Raw genomic sequence first — 19,266 nt, 5'->3', positions numbered from 1 at the left:
TTCCCAGTCCCTGGTTATTCAATCAACCATGGATGTAGGCATTGCTGTGAAAAGATTTTGCAGATGTTGTTAAAGTGCCAAATCACTTGCCCTTGAAATATGGAGATTATGAAGATTATTTGGATAGGCCTGATCTAATCATATGAGTCCTTTAAAAGCAGATAGGTTTCTCTGGCTGGTGGCAGAAGGGAAAGTCAGAGACATTCAAAGAATGAGAAGGATTTTACACGAGGGAGGTTTTCTGTTGCTAAGATGGACCTGAGAGCCACTTCTAGAAACTGAGAGCAGACCCTGGCTGACAGTTAACAAGACACTTGGGACCTCAGTCCTAAAAGCACAAGGAAATGAATTCTGCCAATAGCCAACAAGCTTGAAAGAATACCCTGAGACCTAGATGAGAAGCGCAGCTCTGATTGACACCTTGATTTCAGTCCAGTGAGACCCGGAGCAGAGAATCCAGTGAGGCCATGACTAGATTTCCGACCTACAGAAATTGTGAGATAGTGAATTTGTGTTGTTTTATGCTGCTAAGATTTTGGCAGGTGTTTTTTCCATAGAAATAAACAATTGATAAAGGGTAGATGCTGAGTGAATGTTTGCTGAATGAGTAAGTGAATGAAAACATGCATCATTCAGCAGCCATAGATGACATTTAAGGGGAACGCCTTTCCCCACTCCTGGTTTCCAGGAGGAGGGGTTTTCTCCAGAGGATGTTTCTGCTTCTCTCTGACTCTGGAAGTGTCTGGCTCAGCTGCACCCTTCCTCCTCGGGGCACTCCCCTGAGACCCTGAGACTCCTTTGTTCTGCGTCTTAGCGTTGGTTGGGGCACTCCCAGCCAGCAGCACTGCCTGCACCTGTGTGGGTATGCCAGTCTCATTCTGGGTTGTGTATTTGCAGCCCACATGGCTAACAGATGATATTAGTCAGCTCAGGCTGCCATAAAAAATGCCCAGCTGGGTAGCTTAAACAACACTTTTAGGCAGCTGCCATCTTGCTACGTGCTCTCATGACTACTTTGTGTGTATGGAGAGAGAGAGAGAGAGAGAGAGAGAGAGAGAGAGAGAGAGAGAAAGAGAGAGAGAGAGAGAAGGAAAGCCAGACAGAAACAGAGCAAGCAAGCAAGCTCTCTAGCTCTCTGGTATCTTTTCTAATAAGGTCACTAATCCCATCATGAGGACCCCAACCTTACGGCCTCATCTAATGCTAATTACCTCCCAAAGATCCCATCTCCAAATACCAAAACGTTGGGGAGTAGGGCCTCAACATATGTATTTTGAGGGGACCCAAACATTTAGTCCATAGTACAGACCTATGACCCCCTCCTTCAGCGTGGCTACTAACGGTGATGAAGATAGATGATTTATTGGGCCCCATATGTACTCCTTATTTTATTTGCATTGGATTGGGAAAATGGGTATTATTTATTCAGAGGAGAGTCCCTTGGAGACCTCAACAGAAGACACAAGCTGTTGTGGGAATTGTACCTGTGGCAAGACAACATTTTTGGAAATGTTTAGTGATGGTATCACCTCCATCCACATCCTTATACCCCTTGAACTTCTTCTTCACCTCATCCAAGTAGAGATAAGAATTTTTGATGCTTTTCCCCTCAGAGAAGGAATGAGGTAAAAATTGCATTTTTGAGCAAACTCCTGGCTTTCTAGTTTTAAAAATGTGGATCCCTAGGGGGATGGAAAGAACTTAGGGCATGGACAATAAATTTTAGAGAGAACAGAAAAAAGAGAAGCCTCACTGCTGCCTCTCCCACACCTGGAATGGATGCCTTCATTTGGGAGAAGAGAGAGAGTCGGAGGGAAAGTAATGAGGGTGGTGCAGATTCCTTCTCTCTGGATGAACCCCAAGGATGTGGCAACATCCACCCCCAAAGACTGTGGGATCAGATCAGAAGACCTGAGCCATTTCCAGGTAGAGTTCTGGGGGTGGGTAGAGAGACACCAGAGAAAAAGTGGTTGCTTAGTGAGGCAGGTAGAGAAAACCCTGCCTTCCCTCTCCTTGGCTGTTCCATAAAGTGACTTTACCACCTTCCATCAGGACATAGGGTCTATTTCCCCTGTCCTTGAATCTGGTTGGGTTTGTGAGTGCTTTGAACAATAGGGTGCAGCAGAAATGAATGATTCTATGTGATTTTTGAGGCTGGGTTGCGAAAGGCAATGCAGCTTCTGCTGCACCTGCTGGGACACTTAAGTTTTGGAAACTTGAACCGCTGTGTAAGAAGTCCGTTTCCCTAGAGGCTGCTGTGCTGTAAGTTGACCTCAGCACGTTAGGAGAGGCCTCGAGTCAGCAGCCCCATCTGAGGTCCTAGCCAACAGCTGGCATCCCCCACCAGACAAGGGAACGATGAACCCTCCAGATGATTCCAGCCTCCAGCTGTTGAGTCACTCCCAGGGATCTGGTCTTACCAGCTGTTGCCCTAGACATCATTGGAGCAGAGACAAGCCATTCCCATTGTGTCCTGTCTGAATTCCTGAGCCACAAAATAGTGTGCATAATAAAATGGTTGTCTCACACTCCTAAGGGGTGGTGTGTGATGCAGCAAGAGTAACCAGTGTGGGGGATGAGCGTGGTATGAGCCCAAGTGCCCAGGGTTGTGTAGTCCGTAGAATAATGGCCCCAGGCTGGGTGCAGTGGCTCACACCTGTAATCCCAGCACTTTGGGAGGTCAAGGTGGGCGGATCATGAGGTCAGGAGTTTGAGACCAGCCTGGCCAACATGGTGGCCAGTGCCTAGGTTGCCTAGGTGCACATCAGTTGTCCTAAAAATACAAAAATTAGCCAGGCGTGGTGGCACATGCCTGTAATCGCAGCTACTCCGGAGGCTGAGGCAGGAGAATCGCTTGCACCCAGGAGGCAAAGGTTGCAGTGAGCTGAAATCGTGCCATTGCGCTCCAGCCTGGGTGACAGAGCAAGATTCCGTCTCAAAAAAACAAAAAAACAAAAAAACCAGAATAACGGCCCCAAAGAGGTCCACGTCCTAGTCCCTGGAACCTGTGCATCTGTCCTCTTACACGGCAAAGGGATTTCACAGATATAATTAAGTTAAGGATCTTGAGATGGAAGATTATCCTGGATTATCCGGTGGTTCTAACATGAACACCAGGCTCTTTATAAGAGGGAGGCAAAAGGTCAGAGTTAGAGAAAAAGACATGACCATGAAAGCAAGAGGTCACTGTGATGCAGCCACAAGTGAGGAATGTAGGCAGCCTTTAAACTTTTTTTTTTTTGAGACAGGGTCTCACTCTGTCTCCCAGCCTGGAGTGAAGTGGTATGATCTCAGCTTGCTGTAACCTCCATCTCCTAGGCTCAAGTGTTCCTCCCATCTCAGCCTCCCGAGTAGCTGGGACCACAGGCGCACGCCACCACACCCTGTTAAAGTACGCAGCCTCTAGAAAGAGGAAAAGGCAAGACAATGGACTCTCCTCTGGAGCTTCCTAAAAGGAAGCAGCCCTGTGGACACCTTGGTTTTCATCCCATGAGACCCATTTTAGACCTCTGACCTCTGGAACTATAAGAGCATACATTTGTGTCATTTTCAACCATGACGTTTGTGGTAATCTCTCACAGCAGGCATAGGACATTAATCCAAATGGTGTGGATGAGGAATGATGGGGTGATGGATCCTCAAGATTGCAGGGTGCACAGATGACACTCTGAGCATAGGAGGGTGCTTGCCCCCTCTCTCTCCCTACTGCCCACCCCCATGTTGATATCAGGCTCTGTCTGTGTCCTGGAACCTGAACCATCTCCCTGGGGAAATGAGCAAGGGATAGGAGTTGAACTGTCTGCCATCATTTTCACGACATTGGCTGAATAGGACCTTAACATACAAATGAAGTTGCGTCATAGAAAGTAAAGAAAGTGGTAAGCCTTGCACATGTGAGTTGAGGATTTTGATTGACAACTGATGTGCACTTAGCAGAAAGTGTGCTTCCCAGGGCAGTGGGTGTATCTACACAGTGGCCACATGGAAACCTAGGCACTGGCACAAGGATTTGCCTGTGGTCTTTTAAGAGTTGATCAAAGGTAACAAAATAAGAATATTAAATTCCGTGTGTGTGTGTGTGTGTGTGTGTGTGTGTGTGTGTGTGTGTGGGAAAGGAGCCAATTTATGAAATTAAATAAAGTTGCCTGGGCGCAGTGGCTCATGCCTGTAATCCCAGCACTTTGGGAGGCTGAGGTGGGTGGATCACGAGGTCAGGAGATCGAGACCATCCTGGCTAATATGGTGAAACCCTGTCTCTACTAAAAATACAAAAAATTAGCCGAGTGTGATGCCTGTAGTCCCAGCTACTCTGGAGGCTAAGGCAGGAGAATGGCATGAACCCAGGAGTCGGAGCTTGCAGTGAGCCCAGATTGCACCACTGCACTCCAGCCTGGGCAACAGAGCAAGACTCCATCTCAAAAAAAAAAAGAAATTAAAGTCCACAAAGGAAGTGAGAAACTTGGGCTCAGGCATCCCATCCTGGCTGGGCCCAGCACAGCTGGAGCTCAGCACACTGGGCACCCCCACTGTCCCACCCCTCCTAAGGCTTAAATAGGCCAGGCCCCAGCCTGGTGGCTGGGGGTCCCTGGGCCCAGGGCGGACAGAAGTCGGAAAAGTAGGGGTACTGCAGGGCCTCTTCTGCTGAGATACATTGGCAGGGGTTACACTTCAGAAGATTCTGCAGCAGATCCCTCCCTGTGGCACTGAGTTTGGGCACGATGTTCACCAGGGATGTTGTGGCCGGGTACAATGGGTACAGCTTATAGTCTGGCAGCTTGGTCATGGAGGGCCACTGCTCCTTGGTGAGCATCCCTAGCAGCCAGAAGATCCTCTTCAACTGGTCATCGACGTCATTGCCTGGAAAAAGAGGCCATCCAGCATTGGCCAGCTCTGCAAAGATGCAGCCAGCTGACCACAAGTCAATGGACGTGGAGTACAGCTTGGCCCCAAAGAAGACATCTGGTGGGTGGTACCACAGTGTGACCACTCCAGCTCAGTAACAGCAGATGGGGATCCCAAAGGCTCGAGACAGGCCAAAGTCAGCCAATTTCAGCTCCCCATTCCTGTTTATTAGCAGGTTCTGGGGCTTCAGGTCCCTGCGTAGCACATTGCGGCTGTGACAGAATCCGAGGCCTTTTAGCAGCTGGAAGAGAAATGACTTTACAATCTCAGGATCGAGATCACCATTGCAACTGTCAAAATACTTTTTCAGGTGCTGGTGACAGAATTTGAAAACCAAAGTCAGCTTCTTGTCGCTGTGCAGGAGGTCATGAAGCCTGACGATGTTCTTGTGCTTCAGCTCCTTGAGTAGGCAGATCTCCCGGAGGGCAGAACTCGGCACACCGTCATCATTGTCATCCAGCCTCACCCATTTCAGAGCCACAATCTCATGAGTCTCCCAGTTTTTGGCCTTGAACACTGTCCCATAGGTGCCTTCCCCAATCTTCTCCAGTTTCTTTTATTTCTGCATTGCGGTGGCCGCAGGGGCCCCTGTGGGCTCTCGGTTTTAAGACTCAAGAATATTAAATGTTTTTAAATTTTTATTTCATTTGTTCTTTTCTTTAAAGACGGGGTCTCACTGTGTTGTCCTGGCTGGAGTGCAGTGGCATGATCATAGCTCCCTGCAGCTTCAAACTCCTGGGCTCAAGCAATCCTCCTGCCTCAGCCTCCTGGGTAGCTGGGACTACAGCTGTACACCACCATGCTCAGCTAATTTTAAATGTGTTTTTTTTTAAGTGACAACTTTTCATTTTGAAATAGTTTGACTCATAAGAAGCTGCAAAAATAGTACATAGAGATCGTATGTACCCTTCACCCAGTTTTCCTAAACGATAACATCTTATATAGCCACAGTACAGTTTTCAAAAGGAGGAAGTTGACATTGGTGAAGACTAGTACAGGCTTTATTTAGATTTCACTGGTTTTTGACGCATTCTTTAAAAAAATTTTTTTTTGCTTCTTCGAAATTTGAGCTTTTTGTAGTTTTTATTTTTTATTTTTTTGAGATGGAGTCTTGCTCTGTCACCAGGATGGAGTGCAGTGGTGTGATCTTGGCTCGCTGCAACGTCCGCCTCCTGGGTTCAAGCAATTCTTCTGCCTCAGCCTCCTGAGTAGCTGGGACTACAGGCTCCCGCCACCACACCCAGCTAGTTTTTGTATTTTTAGTAGAGATGGAGTTTCACCATGTTGGCCAGGATGGTCTCCATCTCTTGACCTCATGAGCCACCCGCCTCGGGCTCCCAAAGTGCTGGAATTACAGGCGTGAGCCACTGAGCTGGGCCTGTAGTTAGGTTTTTAATTAAGATTTTTATTTTGAGATAATGACATATTCACAAGCAGAGCATACCTCTTGTTGCCCTTTTATAGCCACTCCTACTTCTTCATCCCTGTTCCCTTCAAAACTACTGGCAACCATTAATCTGTTCACCATTCCTATAATTTTGTCATTTCAGACATCTTTTTTTTTTTTTTTTAATTTACTTTAAGTTCTGGGATATATGTGCAGAATGTGCAGGTTTATTACATAGGTATACGTGTGCCATGATGGTTTGCTGCACCCATCTACTCGTCATTTGCATTAAGTATTTATCCTAATGCTCTCCCTCCCCTACCTCCCCACCCCCTGACAGGCCCTGGTATGTGATGTTCCCCTCCCTGTGTCCATGTGTTCTCATTGTTCAACTCCCACTTATGGGTGACAACATGCCGTGTTTGGTTTTCTGTTCCTGTATTAGTTTGCTGAGAATGATGGTTTCCAGCTTCATCCATGTCCCTGCAAAGGACATGAACTCATCCTTTTTTATGGCTGCATAGTATTCCATGGTGTGTATGTGCCACATTTTTTTTATCCAGTCTATCATTGGTGGGCATTTGGGTTGGTTCCAAGTCTTTGCTATTGTGAACAGCGCTGCAACAAACATACATGTGCATGTGTCTTTATAGTAGAATGATTTATAATCCTTTGGGTATATACCCAGTAATGGGATTGCTGGGTCAAATGGTATTTCTGGTTCTAGATCCTTGAGGAATTGCCACACTGACTTCCACAATGGTTAAACTAATTTTATATAAATGGGAATTATATAGTATGTGATCTTTTAGGACTGGGTTTTTTTCAATCCGATTATTCTCTGGAGATAAATCCAGGTTGTTGCGTATTTCAATAATTTGTTCCTGGTTCTTTGTTTTGGGTGTATTACAGTTTGTTTGACCATTTATGTGTTGAATGACATCTGAATTATTTCCATTTGGGGTTTACTACAAATAAAGATGTGATAAACATTTGTGTACAGGTTTTTGTATGAACTTATGGTTTCATTTATCTGGGATAAATGCCTAGGAGTGTGATTGTTGGGTCACATGGTAAGGGCATGTTTAATTCTGCAAGCGACTGCCAAACTGTTTTCCAGAGTGGTTGTATCATTTTACTTTTCCACCAGTAATGTATGAGTCACCCAGCTTGCCTGCATTTTGTTGTAATTATTTTTTATTTTGGCCTTTCTCATAGGTATGTAGTGATATCTCATTGTGGTTTTAATTCGCATTTCCCTAATGGCTAATGATGTTGAACATTTTTCATGTGTTTATTTGCCATCTGTGTCTCTCTGAAACTGAAAAATAATGTCTCCTGCCCATTATCTAATTGAATTATTTGTTTTTATGCTGTTGAGTTTTGAGAAGTCTTTATTTATTCTAGATACTAGTCCTTTCTTGAACAAGTGATTGCAAATATTTTCTCTACTCTGTAGGTTGCTTTTTCATACTATTGACATGCCCTTTCACAGAGCAAGATTTTTAATTTTGGTGAAGTCTGATTTTCAATATTTTCCTTTTACATATCATACTTTTGGTATCATGTCGAAAAACTCTTTGCCTAGCCCTAGATCCTAAACCGTAGATCCTAAAGATTTTCTTATTTTTTATACACTCTTTTTTTAGGTTTTTTTTTTTTTTTTTTGAGACAGAGTCTTGCTCTGTTCCCCAGGCTGGAGTGCAGTGGCACAATTTTAGCTCACTGCAACCTCGTGCCTCAGCCTCCTGCGTAGCTGGGACTACAGGCATGCATCACGATGTCCAGCTACTTTTTGTATTTTTAGTAGAGATGGGGTTTTGCCATGTTGGCCAGGCTAGTCTTCAACTCTTGGCCTCACATGATCCACCCACCTCAGCCTCCCAAAGTGCTGGAATTACAGTTATGAGCCACCGAGTCTGGCCAAGATTTTCTCTTATGTTTCATTCTGAAAGTGTTATAGTTTTTATGTTTTACATTTAAGTCTGTGATCCATTTTGAGTTAATTTTTATATGATTTAGGTTGATGTTCCTTTTTCACCTATGGATGTCCAATTGCTCCAGACATTTATTGAGAAAACTCTTTTCTTCATTGAATTGATTTTGCACTTTTGTCAAAAATCAGTTAGGGATACAGGTGTGGGTCTATTTCTGAATTCTCTGTTCTGTTCCATTATTCTATGTGTGTATCCCTATACCAGTACCATACAGTTTGGATTACCATAGCTCTATATAAGTCTTGAAACTGAATAAGTCTTGTAACTTATTGCTCCCACTTTATTCTTCTTTTTCAAGATTATTTTAGATAGTCTATTTTTTGGTCTGTCTCTATACATTTTAGAATAATATAGTCTAGGTCTATAACAATCCTTGCTGGGATTAAGATATGAGCTGCATTTAACCTCTATGTCAATTTGGGGACAACTGACACTTTTACTAGGTTAAGTCTTCTAATCCATGAATACAATATGTCTCTACATTATTTACATATTCTTTGACTTTTTTCATTAGCATTGTGTAGTTTCTAGCATACAAGTCCTTACATGCTTTGCTATTTTTATACCTAAGTATTAGTTTTGAGTGATTGTAAATAGTATTTGTATTTTTTATTTTGGTATCCATTTGCTCATTGCTAGTATTAATATATAAAAATATAATTGATTCTATGTTTATATTGTATCCTGCAACTTTATTGAACTCATTTATTAGTTTTAGGATTTTTTTTGGTAGATTCCTTGGGGTTTTTTTATATAGACAATCATGTCTTCTGCAGGAACAGTATTATTTCTTTCTTTTCAATATATTAATATATACCACTTATTGCCTTCTTGCACTAGCTACGACTTCTAGCACTATGTTGAATAAGAGTGGTGAGAGCGGACACTTTCCTTGCTCCCAATCATAGAGGGAAAGCTTTCAGTCTTTCATTATTAAGCATAATATTCATTATAGGATTTTTGCAAATCCTACTGATCAAGATGAGGAAATCCTCCACTATTCTTATTTCCTGAGAGTTTTTTTTTTTAACTATGAACGGCTGTTGAATTTTGTCAAATGCTGTGTCTATGTTTATTGATTTAATCATATGATTACCTTCCTTTAGCCTGTTACTGTGGTGGGTTATGTTTACTATGTCATGATTGTACATTGATTCTCAAATATCAAGCATCGGTGGAATAAAACTCCCTTGATCATGTATACACCATACACTTTTCATATATTGATTAATTCTATCTGCTAATATTTTATTAAGGATTTCTATGACTATGTCTAATATTATGTCCATATTCATAAGGGATATTGGTCTGCAGTTTTCTTTTTTGTGTTGTCCTTGGGTTCGAGATGATGGTAATACTAGCTTCATAAAACAAATTGAGAAGTGTCCCCACTTCTACTTTTCAGGGAGTCATTGTACAGAATTTAGTTAATCCTTCTTCAAACATTTGGTAGATTCTTTCATGAGACAATCTGGGCCTGTAGATTTCTGTTTTTGGAGTTTAAAAATTATTGATTCAATTTTCTTAATATTATAGGGCTATTCAAATTATCTGTTTCATATTGAGTGAGCTGTGGTGGTTTGTGTTTTTAGATGAACTGGACCATTTTGTCTAAGTTATTAAATTTATGTGGTGTAGAGTTATTCATACTATTACTTTATTATCCCTTTGATGTTTTCAGGATCTGTAATGACATCCTCTGTTTCATTCCTGATATTGGTAATTTGTGTCTTCTCTGTTTTTCCTTTGTCAGTCTTGTGAGAGGTTTTACAGTTGTATAGCTCTTTCTTTCTTTTTTTTAACTTTTATTTTAGGTCAGGGGTACATGTGCAGGTTTGTTATGTAGGTAAACTTTTGTCATGGATTGTTGTACAGATTATTTCATCACCCAGGTATTACACCTAGTACCCATTAGTTATTTTTCCTGATCCTCTCCCTCCTCCAGCCCTCCACCTTTTGGTAGGTCCCAGTGTATGTTCCCCTCTATGTGTCCATGTGTTCTCATCATTTAGCTCTCACTTATAAGTTAGAACATGTAGTATTTGGTTTTCTGTTCCTGTGTTAGTTTGCTAAGGATGATGGCCTCCAGCTCCATCCACATTCCTGCAAAAGACATGATCTCATCCGTTTTTATTGCTGCATAGTATTCCCTGGTGTATATGTACCATATTTTCTTTATCCAGTCTACCAGTGATGGGCATTCAGGTTGATTCCATGTCTTTGCTATTGTGAATAGTGCTGCAATGAACATACGTGTGAATATGTCTTTATGATAGGGACATTTATATTCCTTTGGGTATCCAGTAATGGTATTGCTGGGTTGAATGGTATTTCTGGTTTTAGGTCTTTGAGGAATTGCCACACTGTTTTCTACAATGGCTGAACTAATTTACACTCCCACCAACAGTGTATAAGTGTTCCTTTTTCTCTGCAACCTTGCCAGCACCTGTTATTTTTTGACTTTTTAGTGATGGCCATTCTGACTTGTGCAAGATGGTATCTCATTGTGGTTTTGATTTGCATTTCTCTAATGATTAGTGATTTGCATTTCTCTAATGGTCAGCTTTTTGTTTTCATGTTTGTTGGTTGCATGTATGTCTTTTTTTGAGAAGTGTCTGTTTATGTCCTTTGCCCACTTTTTGATTGGGTTGTTTGTTTTTTTCATGTACATTTGTTTGAGCTCTTTATAGATGCTGGATATTAGACCTTTGTCAGATGTATAATTTGCAAACATTTTCTCCTATTCTGTAGGTTGTCTGTTTACTTGGTTGATAGTTTATTTTGCTGTGCAGAACCTCTTCAGTGTATAGTTCTTTCTAAAGAACTAGCTCCTTATTTCATTGAATTTTTCTTTGTTGGTTTTCTCTTTTCAATTTTATTATATTGGTTTCTGGTTTTATATTAGTGTATTAGTTCATTGTCATGCTGCTGATAAAGACATACCTGAGTCTGGGTAATTTACAAAGAAAAAAAGGTTTAATGGACTCACAGTTCCACGTAGCTAGGAAGGCCTCATAGTCATGGCGGAAGATGAAGAAAGAGCAAAGGGACTTCTTACATGGTTGTGGGCAAGAGAGAATGAGAACCAAGTGAAAGGGATTTCCCCTTATAAAACCATCAGATCCTGTGAGATTTATTCCTATCCTGAGAGCGATATGAAGGAAACCGCCCCCATGATTCAATTATCTCCCACCAGGTCCCTCTCACAACATGTGGGAATTATGAGAGCTACAATTTAAGATGAAATTGGGGAGGGGACATAACCAAACCATATCAATTAGTATTTGATTTCTTCTTGCTTCGAATTTATTTTTCTTTTCTTTTTCCAGGTTCTCATGAGGGAAGCTTAGGTTATTAATTTGAGACTTTTCTTTCTTTCTTTTCTAATGTATGCATTTAATGCTATAAATTTCTCTCAGCACTGCTTTAGCTGTGACTCACAAATTTTCATGTTTGATTTTAATTTTTATTCAATTCAATGTAATTTTAAAAATTTCCTTTGAAACCTTCTGTTTGACCCATGGATTATCTAGAAGTGTGTTGCTTAGTTTTTAAGCATTTAGAGATTATTCTATTATCTTACCATAATTGATTTCTAGTTTGACTTCACTGAGGTTGGAAAATACGCTATTTATGATTTCCATTCTTTTAACTTTGTTAAAGTTTTTTTTGTAGCCTAGTATATGGTTTATCCTGGTATATATTCCATGGACACTCAAATAAATGTGTGTTCTGCTGTTATTTGAGAAGAGTGTTCCAGCTATGTCTATTAGATTTTATTGGTTGATAGTGTTTTGAGTTCCATATCCTTGATTTTTGTCTAATTGTTTTTATTAATCATTGAGAGGACAGTGTTGAAGTCTCCAACTGTAATTGTGGATTTATCTAGTTCTCCTTTTCATTCTATTAATTTTTACTTCACAGGTTTTGCAGTTCTGTTGCTTGGTGCATACACAATGATCTTATTTGGGGTTCACTCAGCATTTTGAATCGCTAGTTTTATGTCTCTTCACAAACTTGGGATGTTTTCAGCCATTATTTCTTTGGGTAATCTTTCATCCCTGTTCTCTTTCTCATTTCTTTCTAGAACCCCAATGACACAAATGTTAGATCTTTTGCTGTGGTCCGGCAGGTCCCTGAATTTTTTTTTATTATTATAATTTTTTTCAGTCTATTTTTTCTCTTGTTCAGATTGTTCTGTGTTTAAATTCACTGATTCTTTCCTCTGCTCTTTCACTGTACTGTTGAGTCCAGCCACTGAGGTTTTATCTTCAGGTCTAAAATTTCCACTGGGTTTCCCTTTATATTCTTTACAGATCTTTGTGGAGACTTTTTATTTCTTTCCTGAGGCTTTCTATTTTTTATTTGTTTGCAACAAGCTCATATTTGTTCTATGAAGCATTTTTATCATGGGTGTTTTAAAATCATTGCCAAGGAATTCTAACATAATTTCATCGTCTCTGTGTTGTCATCTAGTGATTGTTTTTTCATTCAATTTGACATCTTCCTGGTACTTGGTATGACAAGTGATTTTTGAAACATGGGAATTTTAAGATTAGGTTATGATACTCTGATCTTATTGAAACCTTCTGTTTTAACTGGCTTTCTCTGACATCACTCTGGCAGAAGAAAGAAGAGGGACTCTGCCTTGTTACTGCCAGGTGATGATGGAAGTCCAGGTTCTCCACTTGGCCTCTGTTACTTCTGCGCAGGGGTAGATGTTCCAGTGACACCATGATGGGGATGACCTTGTTACTGATGGATTATGCTGAAACTCTCACCTCTCTACCACTTTAGGGGGAAGAGGAGGGACACCTCATTACTGCAGGATGAAGCTGAAAGTCCAGGCTCTCCACATGGTCTCCACTGAGATGAATGGTGATAAAATTCCTGATCTTTTCTTCGTCTTTTCTGATACTATCCTTAGTACAGCCCCGCAAGGATGGAAGTCTCAGTTCCTTAGTCTGCCTTTGTTGGCTTGGGTGGGGGCAGGACCACAGTGTTTTTTTGTGGTGATTGGCTGGAGAGGAGTGATTATTATCTAAAAGTTTTTTGTTTTGCTAGGCTGCCCCTTTCTTGGTCCTTTGGCTGGAGAGAGTGGGTTTTGGTTGAGTTTTGCTGGGACTTTTTTTTGTCTGTGCCTGTTAGTGTTTGCAGGTAGTTGGCTTCAACTCCAAGTCCAGGGTGTATCAGGCAAGAGAATACCCGGGGAAATCACTGCCCGGTTGGTCGTCGTTCCTCAGGTCCTACACTTCCTTCTCTCCACGCTTGAGTCTTTTAACATTTGTTTTGCATATAATAGTCAGGGTTTTTAGTTGTATCTTGCAGGCAGAAGCTCTAAACAATGGGATTTTAAAGCCATTTTTCTAGGATTACCATAAGCACTTTGAGCCTCTCTGATGGTGATTATGCTATAGCAGTGCCTTATAAAGGATGTTCATTTGCTCTTAGGGAGGGAACTGGGCACTTCAGGGACATCCTGGCTGGAAGGCCTGCTTTTGGCATAATCTGGATCTTTAAAGGGTCATAATTCACATCCCTTTTAGAGCAATCAAGGAAACATGCCAATCAGCATTGACACAGGGTGTCCAAGCTTGTCGTTTGAGCTTGGAAAGTTCCATGAAAGTTTGAAACTTTGAGTAGGACATGTGAAAAGAGCCCCAAGAAGGATTCAGCAGATGTGGCCTGCTGTGTGTCCTCAAGCAATCCATTTCAACTTCCTGGGCTTCCGTTTTTCCACCTCATACTCAGGAAAGACAAGGATGGACCAGCTCGGGGTTTCTACACTTCCACCATTTACAGAGCACCAGCTTGAGTTTGCTGTGGCAGTACCTCCTGTTTCTCCATTTACTGAAGACTTTGATCCAAATGGACTCACTCGAAAGAGGAAACTTCATGTTGCCTTGGGACGTGTGCCCCTTGGCAGGAGGATGGCTGAGCTGACTCAGCACACACAGGACCAGCGCTTAGTCATGGGGCCCTCTGAGGTTTCAAGCCCAGCCTGAAAGAAATGTTCACTGGGGCTTATCAGTTCAGGTTGACCCCTTGACCCTAACTCAGATGCTGAGGAAGCATGTCCCGCTCACAGCAGGTGGTTATGAAGCTTTCCAAACACAGATGCCACGCGCTCCACGTAGCCTCCGTGGTAGTTCACACTCCCCGGACTGTAGACAGAACATCTGTTGTTGGTTCATGTGAAAACTTCCAACCATGCCCCTCCTCCCTCCCTCCAGTTCTAAGGCACTTAATTTAAAAAAAGCTTCCCTTATTCCTAAACATTGTGGAGCAAACATTTAACATCATCCTGTTGCCTTTAACACACCTTCTGCTCATCCTCCCGTGACAAAATGTTGCTTGCCAACACAGTTACTCTTGAAAGGAAAGTGAATTAAAATTCATCTCCTTGGGAGCACTTGTGAGGAGAAGAACTTCATGGCCCCGTGTGTTAATTGGAGAGTTTCTGAGGACCCAGCGCAACTGGGGATTAGCTACATAGCACCATACTCCAGTCAGCCCCTCTCAATCCCCTCCCAGGATGGAACTCAGGAGCTGCCAGGGTGGGTGACTACTCCTCGGCAGGCCAGGTTTTCAGCTGGGAGATGGCTCCCCGGAGGGCTGGAAAGGCAGTTAGCACATCCCAGCTGGGGCTGAGTGTAGGGCTCTTGTTTCTTTTTTCAACTCATTCACTACCTGTCGAAAATGCTCAATTCCATTGTTTTGAAATGTCCTAACCTATGAAGGCAGCATCCCTGCCTTTTTTGTTCCCTGTCGCATCTTCTAACATTTAGAATTGTGTCTGGCTCTGGCATATAGTAGATGCTCAATAAGTATTTGTTGGATGAGTAAATTCCATAGTTGTCTTCACTGAACTCTATTTGTCAAGGACCATTTCTGTCTTATTTAATCTCTAAGGCTTAATATGGTATGGGGCATGTCGTATATGATCGATAAATATCTACTGAACTGAGCTGCTTCTGGGACGTTCTTATTACTCCTTAGGAGAATCTCTGTGGCTTCACTGTTAGGAGCAGGGCTTTGGAGTTAAGCAGTCCTGAATGAGAATACTTACTCAGCTACTTTTTCTCTGGGGATCTTGAGGCATGTATTTTCAGCTCCTTGACTCTCTGCTTCCTATGGGAAAGACAGGGATAATAATACCTACTAACTTTTTTCAACACATGGGGTTTTTGGAGAGTTAAATTGCAGGGGCATAACACTTAATAAATGATAATTATAACTGTTGTTGTTGACATTATGTCTCACTTCTATTTCTCAGGCAGATAATCATGCCCACACTACTTGGTTGGGTTTTAAGTGGAAAAGGTGACCTGGTAGTGTGTCAGGGAGAGCTGGACAGTACCTGAGCTCTGCTTCTAGGCCAGTGACTCTCAGTTTGGAGCCCAAAGCGTGATCTGGGTGCTTTGAGAATTACTCACAGGTTGTTAAAGAGCCCAGTGAAAATCCCAATTGTCCTTGATGAAAATGCATTGTGTTGGGGGGTAAGGGGAGCGGGGAGGGGCGGTGCATGCTGATGGGCATGGATCAAAGCCACAGAAGACTTAAAGAAAACAATGAGTCCATTATTACATAATAAGTGCTGTCTTGTAGACAAAAGATTTCTATGGCTGGAGGTTTTGAGGGGAAATAACAAAGTGGCCTAAACATTGTTATTTAATGACTCGCAGTCTTCGCTTCTCCCTGAGGGCTAGAACACAGATAGAGTAAAGCCCGGTGGTTAAATTTAGGAGCTCTTGATTCACCTCCTGGAATGGAAGCCTGACTCTTCAGTGTACTGCCTTGGGCAAATTACTACCCCCCTTCTTTGTCCTCATCTATAAAATGGAGATAATAGTAGCCATGCTGATTATGAGAGTTAAATGAAGCAATTAATATAAAGAGCTTAAAGCAACACCTGGCCCACAGTACATAGTTGCCTGCCATTTTTGAATCATCCTGCTGGCTTTTCCTTTTTCCCAGGTGATATTCTCCAGTCAACTTGCTGGCTTCCCGCTCACCACCTATCATGTTCTCCTGACTCAGGCTGGTTGTGGGGAGCAGATGTGGACCCAACACTCGCCTGGGGCCTGCCATGATGGTGTCAGGGGAGGATGACCTCAGCCCCGGCATGCTTCCTGATGACCTCGGCCTTCTATTTATACACCGAACACTGGGCTTGCCTGGAGAGTGCCAACATTGCATCTGCAACACCATCAGCTTGTCTGTTACCTGGAGTCTGAAATCATCCTTTGCTGTTATTATCATAAAGAGTCCCAGAATGGTAGAATGGCAGAGCTGATGGCAAGATCACAACAGCCTCTTAAATCTTACCAATATCAGTTGTCATGACCATGTCCAATGCAGGAAACTTTGGTCCCAGTGCTTGAATTTGCTCCCTTTTTACTGTTATCTCTTGCTCAGTTTCTACAAAAGCCTCTTAGAAGTGGAACTTAGAAGTGGAACTACTGGAACTAAGCATGTGCTGCAATATTTTTTTTTTAAATCTGTTTTATGAGCAAGCAAGTTTTAGAACGTGGAGCTGACACACCATTTCTAAGATTCATAGTAACCACGAGAGTTGGACAATGACAATGCCTGGACAGGGCCTGGAGAAAAGCGAGTGGTGGAGAGCTCCTTTCTAGAAGGATTTGAGAGTCAGCCAAATGCATTATTCCCCCAACAGCTTCTTCTTCATCCTATGTGTTCAATACTCTCAGTCCTGTGGGTTAAGCCTTTGCTTAAGGCAGGCAGCATCATATGGTAGAATGAACCTGGGCTCCAAAATCAAACACATCTCAAGTCAGGTATCAGTTCTGCAATTTATAAGCTGTGTGACGAAGAAAAGTTACTTACCATTTCTGAGCCTCAGCATCTTCACCTGTAAAATGAGGCTAATACCTTCACTCAACTTATAGAGTGGTTGTGAGGATTACATAAACCTATCAATGTAAGCACACAATATACATTAGCTATTATATTAATATGTTAGCTATTATTATTATTAACTTCAAGGCCATAGAACCCCAAATGGCAAATGCTGACTGGACACAGAAGGATAAAAGCAATGCTCTGGGAAGGAGAAGGAGATGTGGTAAGGCTGGGACTCTAGTCCCAGCAGACTAGGGGTTGGTGTAAGGTCCCAGGAAGCCAGGGCAAGGGGTGAGAAGGTGATGCAATAATGCCAGAGATAACCTTTGTCGGTTTCCCAGTGTGGCCAGGGCCAGCTTGGTTAATGGTTAAGTGAGTGGCGCCTGCAACGGCATGGAAGGCCTTCTTGTGTACTTGGGACTAAACGTGGCTTGTGAAAAACATTCTCCCAATTAGCCGGGCATGGTGGCGGGCACCTGTAGTCCCAGCTACTCGGGAGGCTGAGACAGGAGAACCTCTTGAACCCAGGAGGCAGAGGTTGCAGTGAGCTGAGATCGTGCCGCTGCACTCCAGCCTGGGCAACAAGAGCGAAACTCCGTCTCAAAACAAAACAAACAAACAAACAAACAAACACACACAAACAAAAAAACATTCCCCCAGAGAGGAGGCTCCTCAGGTTGTCTCTGCTGGAAGGGCTGTGTAGAGTGTGATCAGGAACTCCCCTTCCACTGTGGAGAAGCTCTGACATCGTTGCCATTGTTGCTGCAGGCATTGTTGCCACTGTCCTCTCTCCACAGCAGCCACTAGCGTATGAAGTACCAGGTACTGTGCTAAGACATGCATTGACATGCATTTTCTCTTCCCAAGAATACCATGAGAGACATATTATTATCTTACTGTTAAGGAAACTGAGACTCAAAGAATTGAATTGCTTAAGGTCACACAATGACTAAGTGGTAGAGCTGGGATTTGAACCAGGTCTTGGTGTAACTCCAAATCAATATCTTTACTCACTACACTATAATGCATGTTACCATCACTATCACCTTCGTTACTGCCATCATCGCCACTGCCACCACCATTACTAGCACCACTACCGTGATCATCCTTATCATCAATTTCACAAAAAGCAAAATCACACACTGTGTGTCATCTCTTTTAATATTCACAACATGATAAATATGATTACATCATCTCGATCTTGTATGTGGATTAAATGAGTTATTACATGCAAGTGTTTAGAGCAGTAACTGGTACATACTAAGCTCTTAATGAGTCTTGTTTATTATTATTATTAACAACTTGATACTACCCAGTTCAGATCCACTGATGAAGTCACTGGGGCCTTAACCTGGGCCAAAGCTCCCCTCTGGGGCTCTACGACAAGGAGGAGTGTGATCCTTGAATGTCTCACCACTGCCCACCTGTAATGTGACCCACGTGGCCTCTGACTCCTGGGCTGCTGAAGAGGTGTGCAGGAGTTGGCCCCAATGACACTGCACCCATGAGACTAATGTTTGAGATGAACAACCTCTCTGCCTGTATAAGAAGCCTTTGCACAGGGCCCTAAGGTGAGGCTAGGAAGGTGGAACCCCATAAAGTCCTGCTCCCAGGTGCCACTTTGGGCAGGTTTTGTGTTCCTGGCTGGTTCTCCTTTAGGTTGTTTTTGTCATACCTGGGGTGCCCCAGTTCTGCTTCTGGGAGTGCGTGGCTCATGCACCTGGGGCTTCTCTTCTCCCATCAGTTTCTTTCTCTATTCCTCTCCCCTTCGGGTCATCCATACTTTACTTACCCCACGGCTGCTCTTCTAGGAGTTTTATTTTTTTACAAATAATACCTGCGGCTTTTATTTCAGTGATGCTTTGCCTCACTTGTTCAGAGTCCAGATTTTTCAAAACTTGCTAGGTATCTGACTGGAAAACCTGGCAAATTTTTGGTCTTGAGTACTGTGACTGTAACTTTCCCAGTACCATACAGCTGCAAAGATGTGTGTGTGGCAGTGGGGTGGGGTGGGGAGGCCAGGGCAAGTCCCAGGTCTGGCTGGACTTAGATCCCTCCGTGAACACTTACCCATTCTGGGGGTGACCCTGCCCCAGAATTCATGGGGTACTACCT

At 42.8% G+C, this 19,266-nt stretch overlaps 1 pseudogene, besides 6 other annotated features; it reads right to left on the bottom strand.

Annotated features, from left to right (window-relative positions):
* CDK5P1 (cyclin dependent kinase 5 pseudogene 1) lies at positions 4,426 to 5,515 on the bottom strand (annotated as a pseudogene).
* Positions 15,265 to 15,820: an enhancer, noted in NCBI's record as "OCT4-NANOG-H3K27ac hESC enhancer chr8:123771163-123771718 (GRCh37/hg19 assembly coordinates)". NCBI's record gives its function as "activates a minimal SCP1, AML or CMV promoter by ChIP-STARR-seq in naive and primed H9 embryonic stem cells {active_cell/tissue: H9 hESC(naive and primed)}" and the evidence as "EXISTENCE:reporter gene assay evidence [ECO:0000049][PMID:30033119]".
* Positions 15,265 to 16,514: a biological region, named in NCBI's record as "hESC enhancers GRCh37_chr8:123770608-123771162 and GRCh37_chr8:123771163-123771718".
* Positions 15,640 to 15,934: a silencer, noted in NCBI's record as "tiled region #10718; HepG2 Repressive DNase matched - State 6:EnhF". NCBI's record gives its function as "represses a minimal TATA promoter and a strong SV40 promoter by Sharpr-MPRA in HepG2 cells {active_cell/tissue: HepG2}" and the evidence as "EXISTENCE:reporter gene assay evidence [ECO:0000049][PMID:27701403]".
* Positions 15,821 to 16,375: an enhancer, noted in NCBI's record as "OCT4-NANOG-H3K27ac-H3K4me1 hESC enhancer chr8:123770608-123771162 (GRCh37/hg19 assembly coordinates)". NCBI's record gives its function as "activates a minimal SCP1, AML or CMV promoter by ChIP-STARR-seq in naive and primed H9 embryonic stem cells {active_cell/tissue: H9 hESC(naive and primed)}" and the evidence as "EXISTENCE:reporter gene assay evidence [ECO:0000049][PMID:30033119]".
* Positions 16,220 to 16,514: an enhancer, noted in NCBI's record as "tiled region #2557; HepG2 Activating DNase matched - State 5:Enh". NCBI's record gives its function as "activates a minimal TATA promoter and a strong SV40 promoter by Sharpr-MPRA in HepG2 cells {active_cell/tissue: HepG2}" and the evidence as "EXISTENCE:reporter gene assay evidence [ECO:0000049][PMID:27701403]".
* Positions 17,320 to 17,614: an enhancer, noted in NCBI's record as "tiled region #2746; HepG2 Activating DNase matched - State 5:Enh". NCBI's record gives its function as "activates a minimal TATA promoter and a strong SV40 promoter by Sharpr-MPRA in HepG2 cells {active_cell/tissue: HepG2}" and the evidence as "EXISTENCE:reporter gene assay evidence [ECO:0000049][PMID:27701403]".

This window comes from Homo sapiens, chromosome 8 (assembly GCF_000001405.40).
Source record: "Homo sapiens chromosome 8, GRCh38.p14 Primary Assembly".
Taxonomy (NCBI): domain Eukaryota; kingdom Metazoa; phylum Chordata; class Mammalia; order Primates; family Hominidae; genus Homo; species Homo sapiens.
This window is presented reverse-complemented; position numbering and strand designations above follow the sequence as displayed.